Source organism: Homo sapiens, chromosome 15, assembly GCF_000001405.40.
Source record: "Homo sapiens chromosome 15, GRCh38.p14 Primary Assembly".
Classification (NCBI taxonomy): domain Eukaryota; kingdom Metazoa; phylum Chordata; class Mammalia; order Primates; family Hominidae; genus Homo; species Homo sapiens.
This window is the reverse complement of record NC_000015.10, coordinates 58,440,946-58,456,470: the sequence shown is the minus strand read 5'-3', so window position 1 is coordinate 58,456,470 and position 15,525 is coordinate 58,440,946. Positions and strand designations below refer to the sequence as shown.

Sequence of the window (15,525 nt, the reverse complement as noted above, 5' to 3'; positions counted from 1 at the left end):
TGCTTTTTGCCCTTCATACTGGAAAAGCTTATTTTTCCCCATGAATATCAAAGTAATACAACTTCAGAACAACAGGAAGGTACAGAAAGCATTGAGGATAAATACATAATCAGCTATCATACTATCACACAGAGCAATTTATTTAAGTGCATTTTCTTCTAACGTGTTTTTTCCTTAATGCAAATGTAAAATTTTGCATTCTACTTTTTCTTTTCTTTTGGCTTGATCTCATAGCATGTTTCCATGCCATTACATATATTTGACCCCACTTCATTCCCTTCTGCTTCCCTATGCTCACCCTCTTGTCTCGGTGTCCCTGACTTCAGCCTCGCCTCCTGCGCTCATGCTGTGTGCCTGTCTGAAGTACAGCCATTCTTCATTTGTCATTGAGTCCTACCATGCTTTACGGCTCTCTGTCCCCCATGAAGCCTTCTCAGACCACCTTGGAGAACTTTCCAGATTGTCTATCCATCCCTGACCCCCTTCCCTTCCTTGGGGTCTGGACCATGCCTTGGGTCCTTAACAAGTGCTGCTCTGGGCTGTTAGGTCTCTTTTTATGTAGACACCCCTCAGGCAGTGGTGCATTGGTGGATACTCAGCAACTGGCTCTCTGGAAGAAAATATATTCATATATATATACACGCATACATGCATATATTGTGCATTTCATTGCTATCAAGGTATTATACAATTTATAAATAATAATGAAATATACAGTATTCTTTATTGTAAACTCCAAATAGCAATTGATTTTCACAGAATACTTTTGCTGATGTTTGTTGGACCCTTGTCTCACTAGTCAACCTATGGTGGCAAATGACAAGTGTAGGTTGGCTGACAGGTTTATTTACATTAATGAAGAAGACAAAAATGAAATAAGGACACATTGAAACTCAATCATTCAACAATGACATGAATTCTTTGCTCAATCAAATCATTGTTTTTGAGCACTGGAAGAATATTTCCTTAATGTTTTGTGCTAGTTACAATTGGGACAGTTCTAAATTTAATCTTCATTACTAACATTTTTTTTCTATGGCTCTCTTAAGTCTAGATGAGGGGCTAGCAATCCATGGCCTGACAAATCTGGTGCACCATGTGTTTTTGTGAATTAGGTTTATTGGAACACAGCCAGGTCCATTTGTGTGTCTATTGTCTGTGGCTGCTTTTGTGCTGCAATAGCAGAGTTGAGTAGTTTTAACAGACACCTATGGCCTACAAAAGGAAAAATATTTACTGTCTGGCCCTTTACAGAGAAAAGTTTGCTGAACCTTGCTTTACACAGTCAACAAAACAATACATCAAACCCTAATCTATAATGTTTGCCAATGTCCATGTATAAATACAGCCATCATGGCTGCTGTTAAGCTCCCACTGTGATGTTACTGATAACGGAGTTGGGAAGAGATTCACTTTGGTGTATCATTGAATAGTATTTCCACCACACAGTACGACAGACGGAAATAACCTTACAGACAGAGACAATAGTAAAATGAGAACAGAGGAGTTTTGAGTATTTATTACTGTCATTTTAAACATTTGTTTCATTGTAAGTTCTATAATGTAATTTTAAAATAATGGCTATGTTTAAAAATCAGCTTGCAAAATTCTTGAAAATTTAGCAATTGGCTTTGTGAGAGGGTGAGGGCTTTCATCTTCCCTGGGGAAAATATGATCCCAGCCCATGTGGGCGACACATCTCACCAAACCCCAGGCCCTGGGGGTGAGCGCTGCACGTGGTAAGGGCATGGGAGGGTCTTGTGAGCATCAGAAGTCTTAAACTTGAAGAAAGAAGCCTCTTGTGTGTAGCAGAGGCCCCAACCCCACCTGTTGACTAGAAAATTGCCATGCACTGTGGTCACCATGTGGGAGTAAAACCATGAACTTCCACCCACCATAGGCAGAAGTGAATCATTCAGACAGAGCCATCCAGAAGGCACAGATGGCTTCCTGACCCCATTTGACCTGGGCTGGGTACTCCATGGAGCTCAAGCTCAAGGTCAGCTCTGTCAGCCCCAAACCCCAGCTTTCTGCTTTGGAAGTACCAGCTTATATCCCCACCCTTTCCCCCAGCCCAGGAAGGGAGTAAAGCCAAAGGGGTTCCAGGGGAACCTAAGACCTTGGCCTGGGAAGGTGATGGTTGGGACCCATGTGACTGGGCATGACCAGAACGAATTGGTGTTTTCCCTAAGGAAATCCCTTGCCCCAAACTCTCCCCTGCCAGCTGCTCTGTGGCCTTGGAGACAAGCTATTTCTCTGGTTATTTGCTCCAAGTTCACCCAGAGCTGGAAGACAAGTGTGGCTGAGGCACCTGCATGAAACAGCAGGGAGAGAACAGGTGCTCAGGAGTCACTGGGCTGGGTTCCCATCTTGCCATCACCTCTGCATGTGTGACCTTGGGCTTGTCACTTAATCTCTCTGAGCCTGTTTCCTTATAGGTTAAACACCTCACAGAATCACTGTGGGGTCAACTGAGATAATGTATGTGAAGACGCATTGCAAATAGCAAATGTGGCACCAGGACATCTGCTGAAACAACAGGTGCTAAGGAACCCACATTCTATCCATTTTTTTTCTTTTTCTTTTCTTTTCTTTTTTTTTTTTGAGACAGGGTCTTGCTGTGCATGATCATGGCTCACTGCAGCCTCGCTCTCTGTGGCTCAAGCAATTCTCCCACCTCAGCCTCCCTAGTAGCTAGGACTATACCAGGCCTGGCTGATTTTTTTTTACTTTTAGTAGTTGGGATTTCACCATATTGCCCAGGCTGGTCTTGACCTCATGGGGTCAAGCAATCCACCTGCCTCGGCCTCCCAAAGTGCTGGGATTACAGGCATAAGCCACCGCGCCAATGTACGGAACCCACACTCTGTAATGAGAGTTGCCAGCAACTGGGGCCAAATTCTTCAAACTCCAGGGCTCTCAAAGAAGCAGTCTCTATTCCCATCACCACCTTCCCCCAGCCCATGTTAGACAGACAAGTGGGAGAGGGAGAGTAGGAATTGCTGGGAGAATAATTTAGTTCTCTTCTTCCCATTGTTAGTCTCTAGAGTTCAAGTTGGGGGACCGATTAGAATCACTTACCGAGAATGCGGAATGAGGGTGCCTGCAGGAGGCAGAAATGGTCATATTGTTCCAGGCTGTATGCTGGCTGAGACGTTGCTATTCTAGGTCCCATGTGGTGCTGGGGATATGAGGATGGAGTTTTGGAGAGAGACTGACCTGTATCCATAGGAGTTTATGGGACTGTGTGGCAACGTGGGGGTTGTGCCTGTTTTAGCCATCTGAAGAGAGGAGGCTCAGCCAAGCGGGGAGAAGAAATACTATGAGGCAGTGTACCTGAGGGGATGGGTCCCCACACCTCAGCTCCCATCAATCCTCAGAGGCGGGGAAGAAGACCGAAGTCATTTCTGAGACTTTGTACAGGAGGACAGAGTAGGAGGGGCATGGACCTTTGGAGAAGCCAAAAGGGGCCACAGCTGTCCTTAGTGACAAATGGGCTGGGCTCACACCGATAGGGCCCTCAGAAAACCACATCCACATCTTCACAGGCCAAGGCCACCAGCAGCAGATGGGACCACAGTGAACCAGAGCAAGAGCAGACCACTCACAAGAGATGAGGACCTCTGTGTCCCCCAGCTGTACCCTCACTACCAGCTCCCAGTCCCATGGGGGTTGGGCTCTGAAAAATGAGGGGCAGCAATCCCAGGACCAGGCCTCACCCTGCCCTCCCACCCCATCCCACTCCACCCTACCCCACGGTGCTCCAGAGAAAAGAGGAGTGAAAGAGCAGAACTATCCTATCCCCTCCCCACTGCAGATTCCATCTTCTTTGAGTCTAGCTCATGAGAGAAGGGAAGAATGTCAAATCAGATGTGAGATTGAGGCTTTAGAATAAAGTAAAATAACTTAATAATCGAACTGACCAAAAGTTAAAGGAATCTGCCCAGGATGCTATAAAGGGATGGAAGCATATAACTTGATAGTGCGTGGCTGAAGGCTGGAATGGGAGAAATAGAAAACTGTTTCACGTTCACACTCTTCTAAATTCAGACTGCTCAATAAACCCTGAACATAAGCCTTAGTTTTTATAGTAGGTGGTCCCTTTGAACTTGATGGATTGGATCAAATACATTTATAGGCAGACGTTCTCAAACTTTGGTGCCTGTTTCAGAATCACCCAGAGGGTGCGTTAAAACCCAGACTGCCGGGCCCCATACCCAGAGTTTCTGATTCAGGAGGTCTTGAGTGGGATGGAGAATTTGTCTTTCAAACAAGTTCCCGGGGCATGGTGATACTGTTGGCCTGGGGGCCACAATTTGAGAATCACTGTGGAATAGACTAAAGCATCACTGAAATGTGTATTCAACATACACAGCCTTGAAAATAGGGCCCCGAGCATCCTAGGATGCCAATGAAAGTGTGGTTTTATTTATCTCACCCATCTGCTTCCTCTGGGAGGAACGATGCTTGAGCATTGTGTTGGTTCTCCAGTGTGTTACAGAACTAACTGAAAATCCCTTTGCCCTACAAATGAGTCTGTTATGCTGCCCAGGATTTTCCCCACACTCACGAGGTCTGCTCTGCCCAGGTAGCTTAGCTACGATAGCCCACCTTCTAGCGGGGAGCAAGGTGCAGAGCCACAGCTGTGTGAGCAGGGCAGGAGCATCCTCCTGCTCGCCTCTGTGGAAGCAGGAGCCGCCCTTGCCTCCCGCTCATCCTCGTGCCTCACAGCCAGTCCTCCACGGTCTGCTGGCATCTCCTCCTCCAAAGGAGCGAACCTCCCATGTGGATCCTGATCAGTCCTGTTTGGGTAAAGTTGATCCTATCCAAGTGGTGGATAGGATGTTTCCCAAATCAGACCAATCAGACATCCCATTCTCCTGCCTGTGGCCATCTATTCAGGGGTGGACACCTGGCCAGAATCATTTCTGGAACATGTGCCATAGGTATGTGATGAAGTGTGGTCTCTCTGGAAGTTTGAGTTCCAAGGACTGAGGAATCTGGCACTCTGAAGTGTTATGAAGGGAGAAGGGGGTGGGGAGCGAATGAAGAAACATGGTGACTTTATTAAGGTCATAGATCCAGCTGTCCCTGAAGCTTATAATTTGGACATCTATGTTACATGAGTAAATAAATTCCCCACAAGTTAATTTGGTTTGGATTATTATTCTTGTGACCCAAAGTCTCAACGAATACAATTACTTACCTGCCTTTTTCGTATCTCCAAATATGTTGACTTTCCTCCACCCCACTGCTCTACCTGTCACTCGAGGCCTGGGTCTCAGCAACAGCCTCCCAATCCTGTGCCGGTCAGGGCCTTTGATTGCTCTGGGGATACATGCCTCCAAGTAATGAATCCCAACCGATTGCTTGCCCAGTCCACTAGGCTTTGATGGGGAGGGTAGCCTGCCTTCAGTAAACCATGATTCTTCCTAGTACGTTGCCTGGGGAAGGAAGGCAGCACTGATAAATCGCAATTGCAGCCTCATCATGGCTTATAATGTGAAGTCCCGCTGCAAAGAAAAAGTTGTCTGCCTCCAAAGACCTCTAGTATTCATCAGGAAACTCCCAGAGTCCTTAGACTGTACCCCTTTATTGCCCTGGGCCCAGTTTTACCTGTAAACCCTGACTGCTGCAGGGAAAATCGCTTAGGGACCATTGGTAAAAACTAGCACGGTGGGCTCTTATCAATACCAGGCATTTCTTACTACTTTCACTCAATAAAGTTAGCAAAGCATCCCGGTGGCAAGACTGTGACCTACTCAGTACCTTGACCTTCCTAGTACCTAGGTATAGCAGACCACCAGTGGGTAGCTTGTGTGGTCCCAGACCCATGTAACATTTCAATGCATTTCCAAAATACATAGATCCACATACTTATGGAAATTGACCTTTAACTGACGATTTCCTACAAAAAGATTTAAATTGCACATTGTTCACTGAAACTTAATAAAATTCTCCTTTAGACGGTGCTGTTCTTTTTCCCAAGTGCCAAACACTGCCAGCAGCCTCATCTCTCCCATGATTGGTCTCTAATGCTTCCCACTCTTGTTCTGAGGCAGTTCTTCAGGTGGGATGCAGGACCAGCAACAGAATCAGCATCACCTGGGACATCGTTAGAAATGCACATTCCTGGGCCGCACCCTAGGCCTATTGAATCAGGAGCTCTAGAGTGGGGGCCACAATCTGTGTTTTAAAAAGCTCTTCAGTGGGTTGTGATGCACACTCAAGTTTGAGAACCAGTGACCTAACTGATTTAGCTCCTGACTCAGTTTCCACACCACGCTCAGAAACGCGAAAGACCAGAAGAGGCAAAGGGGACAACCTATTGCTCCTTAAGTAAGCTCCTTGGGGGTCTTGACTCTTGCCCCAGATCATATATGAGTGGTGTCACCCCATAAGACAGGGGCAATTTTTCTACTAAGGTGCTAAGGGTCTCTCCATACTGTCATACTGATGACTCTGGACAGAGGACAGGCTGGTCCCTCTGGTCTTTGTTCCAGAGCCTCGGAGGACATTAGAATATCTGATGGTGGGTACAGGGTGGGACCAACATCACCAGACAAAGCAGAATGGAGTGGAATAGAAAGGTCTCCAAGGGAAGAAACAAATGCATTTAAAACCCAAGGCCGGGCATGGTGGCTCACACCTGTCTGTAATCCCAACACTTTGGGAGTCCGAGGAGGGGGGATCTCTTGAAGTCAGGAGTTCAAGACCAGCCTGGCCAACATGGCGAAACCCTGTCTCTATTAAAAATATAGAAATTAGCAGGGTGCGGTGGCGCAAGCTTGTAATCCCATCTACTTGGGAGGCTGAGGCAGGAGAAGCTGGAGGCGGAGTTTGCAGTAAGCCAGGATCGTGCTACTGCACAGCGTGGTTGACAGAGTGAGACTCTGTCTTAAAAAAAAAAAAAAGAACAAATGCATTTAAAACCCATTCCTCCCAGCAACCTGCATGGATTACAAAGCCACATTTATCTTTCAAAGTAAATAGCAATCAGTCCCAAGCAGCAAGGAGACTCAAATAATGGCCAGCATGTGTTGATATTGACAGTGACCCATAAATCTTCATGTCTTTGGCAGAGAATGTTGGGTGGCATTTTAATTCCAAGCCATCAAATGAGAAGGAGAGAGATGCACCTCTGCTGTGGATCTTAGCAGAGCATCCTTGCAAATACAACCCAATGAGCATAGAGTTTAGTCCTAATCGATGGCTGCCAACATGCTTCATAACAGTCCATTATCCAGATGGGTTGCATGGTGGCTGAAGCATGGAGCAGCTGAGCGTGGGGTGCTCGCAGACTGGCGTCTGAGTAGCCATCTAGGAAGGACAAAGGGCCCTTGGAGCCTCCCCAGCATGACTAATCGCTCCCTCCTCCCCTGGGCTCCCACCTGTGTTTGAGCCCCCACTGCCCGTCGTGTGCACCTAGCGCTTTCCGGCCTGCCAAGCCCTCTTCCAAAGTCTCTCCTGCTTCTTTTCTCACAGTTTTCTCGTCATGTGTGGCCAGTCCCAAGCCTGGTTTTTGTCCTTCAGGGTAGACAAGCCTTTCTCCCACTTGTCAGTTTTGTCTGAGAGTGCAGATTACTGGCCCCCACTCTCTGTTCTGTCATTTGAAAAAGGTATTTTAGTTACCGTTTAGTTACTACTTGCCACTCTGCTGAGTATTTTTGCATATATTTCACTGAATCCATATTAGCTGTGTGATGTTGGGCCAGACATCTGACTTTTTAAGCCTGTTTTCCCATTTTTAAAATGGGGACAATACTAGCATTTTCCTTTGAGGGTTGCTGGGCGTTACCTGGAATCTTCCAGGGAAGCTCCTAGCCAGGCCTGGCATATGGTGAAGGCCCACTTAGGCCTGCCGGCCTCTGCCAGTGCTGAGTGAGGTGCTCTCCTTCACACTCTGAGAGCCTGAGCCAGCCACGCAGCAGGGCACCTGCGGTCTGTTTTAGGTCTCCTCCCCAGGGAGGGAGTGCATCTTATTGACCTTTGCCTCCCTGTCCTTGAGCACAGGTTTGATGCAGAGTATGTGCTTGATAAATGCGTGTGAAGTTAGGAAGGAAAGGAGGAAGACTGTAGGTGAGCCCCAGAAAGCCCCAGTCCTGAGCTAAGAAGAGGGGGCTGGGGGACCCTGATGGGGACATAACACTTGCCTTCACCTGGCTTGATGGGAAAACTGCAAGAAACGGCTTGGAAACTGCTTAGAAACCTTTTGGCAGACAGGAAGGGACTTGAAGAGCTCCCAACCCTAGTCCACGTGAGAGGAGAGTGATTTATCCAAAGTCACACAGCCATTTGGTGACAACATTTGGGCCCTAATTTATGGCTGAAGTTTGCTAGTGTGCCCAGTATTTGATACCATGTTAGGAACTTGTTGCAAAGGGCTTGAGCATCAGCAGGAATACACATTACCAGAAACAGCCAGAAGACCCTAGGGGAGGCAGCTTGGAGTAACTTTTTAGGTCCCACTTAAGCAAAATGCTAGACGTAGTATAAAGGGATATCCAGTTGGATTTGAGTCAAAGGCCTGTGTCTTATTCTTCTTTGTATTTCTTCCCATTTCCTTGTTCCTCCAGTGCTAGAACACTGCCTTATATTTAGCTGTAGGTGCTAATTACCAGTTCACTGAAGAAATGAGAAGTTGTTTTGTGACCTTTAGAACTTCGCTTCTCAAAGTGTAGTTCAGGGACCAGTGGCACTGGCGTCACCCAGACCAACTGTTAGGAATTCAGGATCCTGGAGCCCATCCCAAATCTACTTTTAAAAAAACATTCATTGTATCAAGCTCTCCAGATGATTCAAAGGCACATTAAATTTTGAGAAGCTCTGGCCTGGAAAGCACAATTTGAAGCTGGGAGAACTTAAAACTCTCATTGAGGTCCTGAGCATTGTGGTGAAGTGACACATGCAAGAAAACAATGCAAACATGATATGCATGCGCCTCTTCTCACTCCTGCTGGTCCGGAAGTGGTTTTCTGGTTCCACAGAAACTCACAAGACTTGGAATCACTTCTGTAAGACCTATAATGGGAACACAGCCAACTTCTCATATACGTGTGTGTTTTCCAGAGAAGACTTGTGGTCTGGAGGGCAGCTCTCCCTCTCAGTCGATGGTCCTGTCACAGATGTCGAGCACAGACTAGTCGAGAGTCCAAGCGATTTCAGAGCCCCAGTGGCCACTTGTAGATGGGGAAGTAGGGCAGGGCCTGAGCTAGGTCACCTGGGTCTCTGGGATGCTTTCCATGAGCTCCGGCAGGGGTACAGAATTTGTCAGATGAAATTACTTAAAACTCATTTCCTTTTTTTTTTTTTTTTTTTTTTTTGAGATGGAGTCTAGCTCTGTTGTCCAGGCTGGGTGCAGTGGCGCAATCTCGGCTCACTGCAACCTCCACCCTCCTAGGTTTGAGTGATTCTCCTGCCTCAGCCTCCCAAGTAGCTGGGACTACAGGCACGTACCACCACACCTGGCTAACTTTTGTATCTTTAGTAGAGAAGGGGTTTCACCATATTGGCCAGGCTGGTCTCCAACTCCTAACCTCAAGTGATCTGCCTGCCTCTGGCCTCCCAAAGTGCTGTGGTTACAGGCATAAGCCACCTCGCCTGGCCAAAACTCACTCACTTTTTAAAGGTGTGTGTTGCTTAGCCCTCTGATGAAGATTCAAACATGCAACAGTCATTTGCCACGTGCCTGCTCCATGCCAGGCCTGTGTGGGTCCTGGGGAAACAACAGTAGCTAAGACTGGCCACTGCCCTTGGGGTGCTTATCCTCCAGCAGGGAGAGAGGTGTGCAAGCAGATAGCTGGGTGCAAGGAGCCAGCGCCATGGGAGAGAGGTCCGCAAGAGGCCATGGGACGGTGGGCAGCACAGATGAGTGTGAGAATTGGCAGCAAGTAACCAAGATGCTCACAACCTCAGACACTGGGGAGACATGGCAGAAGCTCAGCAAACAGGGCAACAGGAGGATCTTGAGTGGATCCCAGTCTGAAAAACGCTATCAACAACTATCTTGGGACAACTGGGAAAATTGGAGTAAGGTCTGGATATTGGATAGTATAAAATTATTTTTAATTTTCTGAGGTGTGGTGATGGTACTGGGGCTATGTAGGAGAATGTCCTTAGTAAGAGGCATTCATTCCAGCTACTCAGGAGGCTGAGGCATGAGAATCGCTTGAACCCAGGAGGTGGAGGTTTCAGTGAGCCAAGATCATACCACTGCACTCCAGCGTGGGTGACAGAGTGAGACTCTGTCTCAAAAAAAGAAAGAAATACTAGCGTATAAATATTTAGAATTGAAGTATCATGATGTCCACAACTTTCATATGGGATATGTATGTGTGTGTCTTTTTCTCTCTTCCTTTCCCCCTCTTATCTCAACTGGTTTTACAAGTCACACACATATAAATATGCACATACAGCAAATATACGAAAATGCAAACAGTTATTGAGTCTATCTGGAGGGAATATGGAAATTCATTGTATCCTTTAAACTTCTTTCTGTAGTTGAACACTTTTGTAATAAAAAGTAGAGAAAAACACTGGGAGTAGCATATGAATCGGGTGAGTATTATATGACTATTTAGTAAATAGATGCGTACACACGTTAGTTTTGTGACCAGCAATGGATAGTTTCAAAGTGCGTTCACTTACGTGGTCTCATTTCACCCTCAAAACAGCCCAGTGGGGTCTCTATAATAGTAATCTTCTCTTTACTAATGACTGACCGAGGTCTGCAGGCCTTGAGTGATTTGTTCAAGGCCACGTGCTGGGAAGTGATGGAGCTGGGACTCAGGCCCAGGTCTTTCAACTCCAAATCTGGGTCTCTTTTCTCACCCAGAGTCTCCCTCAGGGACCCATGGTTTATTTCCGCTGTGCCAGGAGCCCCTGTTTATGCCAGGATCTTGTAGCCCAGACATGAAGAGGAGCCCAGGAGTTTGTCCTCCTAGCCCCAGCTCTGTCCTCAGGCACCAGCCATCATCCCACCCTTCTAATTTGGGCTTGACCCTTCTATGTGGGAAGGGAGGCAGGCACATGATGAGAAAGTGGCAGCCGGCCTTGGCCCTTTCCCCTCGTCTGAGGCCTGGGCGAGTCTAGGCAACCCCCTGGCTGAAGCCAGCCTGTATGGGAGAAATACCTCTCAAAGCCAGAGGGAGCAGGTTTGGGGTCCACACTGAGCACACCCATGCAGAGTTGATAGTTCCATAAGGCGCCAAGCCAGAGGGTGAGTTTCATCACTCACTCACACATGAGCCAGCTAAACGGCGCCTTCTTGGTCTCCTGCCGGTTATTGCTTATGCTGCCAGAAAGTCCCAATCATTCTGTTGAAGAGGGAGGATGCCTCTCCCCAGCCCAGGCTCCCTGAGCCCCCACTCCCCATCCCACCCTGCTAGCGGCCGGCCAGCCGGCTCCTGTGTGTCTCAGCAGGGCTGCTGCTTCCTGCACCTTTCAGCACAGGCCCCCTGTCTGGGCCTGGTGTGGACTTACTACTCACTTTCAAATTTCCTGTGTATTTGTAAGCCTTTTTTCTAACGCGGAAGCCTTCCGGAGAGTTGCTGAAGCTCAAATAGAACAAAGAGAGATTTGCAGTTTCCACTGTATGCCCAGTGCCAAGCCCAGGACCCGGGTCACAGCAGGGCCTAGCAAAGTGTTTGCTGGGTGTAATGGGCTGAACTTTGTGTTCCCTCAAATTCATACATTGAAGTTCTAACCCTCAGTACCTCAGAATGTGACTGCTTTTGGAGCCAGAGTCTTTAAAGAGGTGATTTGGGTGAAATAAGGTCACTGGGGTGGGCCTTAATCCAATATGACTGGGGTCTTTATAAAAAGAGGAGATCGGACACAGAAACATAGAAGACTGTGTGCAGACAGAAGAGACGCAGCCATCAGAAGACAAGGAGAGAGGCCTCAGAAGAAACCCACCCTGCTGACCCCTTGACCTCAGACTTCTCACTTCCAGAACTGTGAGAAAATACATTTCTGTTGTTGAGGCCACCCAGTCTGTGGTCCTCTGTCCTGGCAGTCCTGGCAGACTGCTAGACTGTGTGAATATCGAGTGACCATGTTGGGGTCCTAGCACAAGGCCTGGCACAGAGCTGGTGTGTGGCGAAATCTCTGACATCCAGAAACCACCCTCTGAGTATGGAGAGCCACACTGGTCGTTTGTTTATCTTCCAGGAATGAGTGGATAGGCTCACTCACGAGTGCCTTCTTGCAGTTCTTCCTGCTTTAACACCTTCCCAATCATTAACCTCAGGAAGGGGAGTCCCTCTATGCGGCACAAAGGTGGGGGCCAGGGCATGAACAATAATACACCAAGAGTGCCCAACTGTGGAATAATTCCTAGACCTGTGTCGCAGGCAGGAAGGAGACTGTCAGGCCTCTGAGCCCAAGCTGAGCCATCGTAGCCCCTGTGACTGGCACGTATACACCCAGATGGCCTGAAGCAACTGAAGATCCACAAAAGAAGTGAAAATAGCCTTAACTGATGACACTCCACCATTGTGATTTGTTTCTGCCCCACCCTAACTGATCAATGTACTTTGTAATCTCCCCCACCCTGAAGAAGGTTCTTTGCAATTCTCTCCCCACCCTTGAGAATGTACTTTGTGAGATCCACCCCCTGCCCGCAAAACATTGCTCCAAACTCCACCGCCTATCCCAAAACCTGTAAGAACTAACGATAATCCACCACCCTTTGCTGACTCCTTTTTCAGACTCAGCCCGCCTGCACCCAGGTGAAATAAACAGCCTTGTTGCTCACACAAAGCCTGCTTGGTGGTCTCTTCACATGCGTGAGACAGAGATTTGCATGAAAGGAGCTTTCTCAGGTGTTGTCTTGATACTACTAAGTCACCGAGGAGCCGTGGAGGGTCCTCTTCAGCTCATAAAAACAACCTGGAAGATAGAGGATTCTTGGATGGAGGAAAAAGCTTCAGCTCTTTCGAAATATCCCTGGTGACCTTAAAAGTAGCCCAGAATTTTTAAGCTTGACATCACAGGGCTGTGCCTTCTATGGGCTGCCTGGGTTTGTGCTCACATCTGTGTTTCTGGGCTTGACTTTGGGTAGCCAGGGGCAGTGATGGAGGCTGAGATGTGAGGGGTCCAGGGCTTCATCCAGAGGTTTTTCCCCTTGGGCCACTGAGGCTGCTCCTGGCCATCACTCACAGTTGTGTAAGGTGAGCAGAAACTTCTGATAAGTAGTGGCCAGACCCACGGAAGTTGAGAATATGTCCCAGGCTCCCCTATCCAAAATGGGATATCTCGGCCAGGCACAGTGGTTCAGGCCTGTAATCCCAGCACTTTGGGAGGCTGAGGTGGGCAGATCACTTGAGGCAGGAGTTCAAGACCAGCCTGGCCAACATGGAGAAACCCCGACTAAACTAAAAACAGAAAAATTAGCTGGACATGGTGGTGCATGCCTGTAATCCCAGCTACTTGGGAAGCTGAGGCATGAGAATCGCTTGAACCCTGCAAGCGGGGATTGCAGTGAGCTGAGATCACGCCACTGCACTCCAGCCTGGGCAACAGAGCGAGACTCAGAAAAACCAAAAACAACCCCCCAAACCAAATGAGATATCTCTGAAGGCTCAGATACCCATGTGGGCTCTGAGAGGGACACCAGAACCACTAGAAGTAGGCATCAATGAGAATCACAGGACCTTGGGAGGTTTGGAGGCTTCTTCTGCCTCTGCCCTTCAGGCAAGCCCATGTTTCAGCTATACCAGAGAGGAAATTATTAGCTGAGTGGTCTAAGGAGAGTTTGCAACACTCTGAGCCACAATTTCCCCATCTGTGAAGTGGGGATAATACCTATCTCACAGGGTGTTTTTCTGGATTCATTGACATAAATAGGCAAAGAACTTGGCACATTTAAATATTCTTAAAAATAATGGTTTCTGTTGTTCTGTACATCTTAGTTCAATTCAAGAAATGTAAGAGTTTTCTTCCAAACAGCATCAAATACCTATTTTCATTGTCAGCACTTAATCAAACACTGCTGCATGTCAGGCCCTGAATAAAACAGTTCCGGGCAAGAAATGGCATAAGGGTCATTGACTGCGTGGGCTGTTCTTACAGAATCCCATCTTTGTCCTCCGGGTGTCTGGGAATCTTTGAATTGCTAGAGGCAAATGAGTCAATTAAGGTTCAGTTAGGGTAAAAGGTCACATGCTTAAAATGGATAGAACTTTGCTTCCACATTTCTCTTTCCTGATAATATTTAAATAGCTGATACCAGGGAAGGTCACCACTGCAGATCTCCTGGCACCACGATGACCATTCTAATCAGTCCCATTCACACCCAGAATGTCAGTGTGGAAGGGACACTATTACTCCTGAGAGATCAGAGGTAAGGAGGTAAAGGGCATCACCCAAAGCTGTGCAGCTAGGGCATAGGTATTAAGAGACCTCAAACGCATTCCCCAAGTCCCTTTGGGAGAGACTACACGAAAACACAGCACAGCAACAAAAACCAGCTCTGCCGTCAGCCAGACCATAATATTCACAAGTGAACAGAGACAATGCCCACCGAACAGAAACATGTGCAGCACAGACCCTCCACATCTGTGTTTGCATCAAGACAGGGAGGAGGCCACTCCAAAATCAAAAAACATGACTAAACATTTCCCTCTTCTGACTAACAGGAATGACTTGTGTTGCTGTATCAAAGCCAGCTCAGCCCTGTTTTCATCTTCCCATCTGCTAGATCATTTATTGATTATATTAAATAATAATTAGTGATAACTATTAAATTATTATGATGCCGAATCATTGAATTGGACTCCTTTTTGACAGAATCCAATCCAGAATTCCCCTTGCTTTCCACCCCTTCCTTAGACTCAACCAGCACAAGCCCAAGTCTGGAGTGAGCTCTCCCTTGCTGCAGTAAACCACAGAAACTGACTTGCAATTGATGTCAGCTGTGTTCCCCATGGTCCGCGGATGGTGAATGTTTACGTCTCTAAAATGGGAATAAGAATTCCTACCCAATATTCTTTACAGGGCTACTGTAAGAATCAAGTCATATAATGCAGGTGGGAATGAATTTTTAAAGTTGAAATTGCTGTTAAGTCTATAAGTGAGTATGACGTGGAATTTCCAAATGGTTCTCTTTTCAGATGTAGAATAAGATATTTTTAAGATGGAAGATTCATATTAAGCTCCTGTTATGTGCTCCTGCTTCAGTTTCATGGGTGTTAATCTTTCCCATGATTTAGTGTTAAGCATAGCAATTCATAAGAAAACTTCAAAGAGACTTGCTCCAAGCCTTGAGGCTTGTCTTGGAGGAAAAGCTGAGTGTTTGCGGGTGTAGGGCCAGGTGAGCTTGCAAAACTGGTCCCTGCTGGGCCCCACCCCTGCCCTTGCCTGCTGGGAACCTTGTTCTCTATCAGGGAGTGGCCAGGGTTTTAGCCAGGCTGAGATAAGTCTATCAATCCATCTGGGAAAGGCAGCCTTTTAAAAACAACCCCCCTCATCAGTGGTCTGCCCTGCCTCCAGGATGAGGACAAAACTTCTGAGGATGGCCCTTCC

General features: G+C 47.3%; 1 protein-coding gene and 1 long non-coding RNA gene across 2 annotated transcripts in view, besides 1 other annotated feature; one reads left to right on the top strand and one right to left on the bottom strand.

Moving 5' to 3' along the window:
- The window catches only part of LIPC (lipase C, hepatic type), a 137,854-nt gene that overhangs the window by 113,374 nt on the left and 8,955 nt on the right, over positions 1 to 15,525 (bottom strand). The window lies entirely within an intron of this gene.
- The window catches only part of LIPC-AS1 (LIPC antisense RNA 1), a 63,835-nt gene that overhangs the window by 42,265 nt on the left and 6,045 nt on the right, over positions 1 to 15,525 (top strand). The window lies entirely within an intron of this gene.
- Positions 6,895 to 7,395: an enhancer, noted in NCBI's record as "H3K4me1 hESC enhancer chr15:58741275-58741775 (GRCh37/hg19 assembly coordinates)". NCBI's record gives its function as "activates a minimal SCP1, AML or CMV promoter by ChIP-STARR-seq in naive H9 embryonic stem cells {active_cell/tissue: H9 hESC(naive)}" and the evidence as "EXISTENCE:reporter gene assay evidence [ECO:0000049][PMID:30033119]".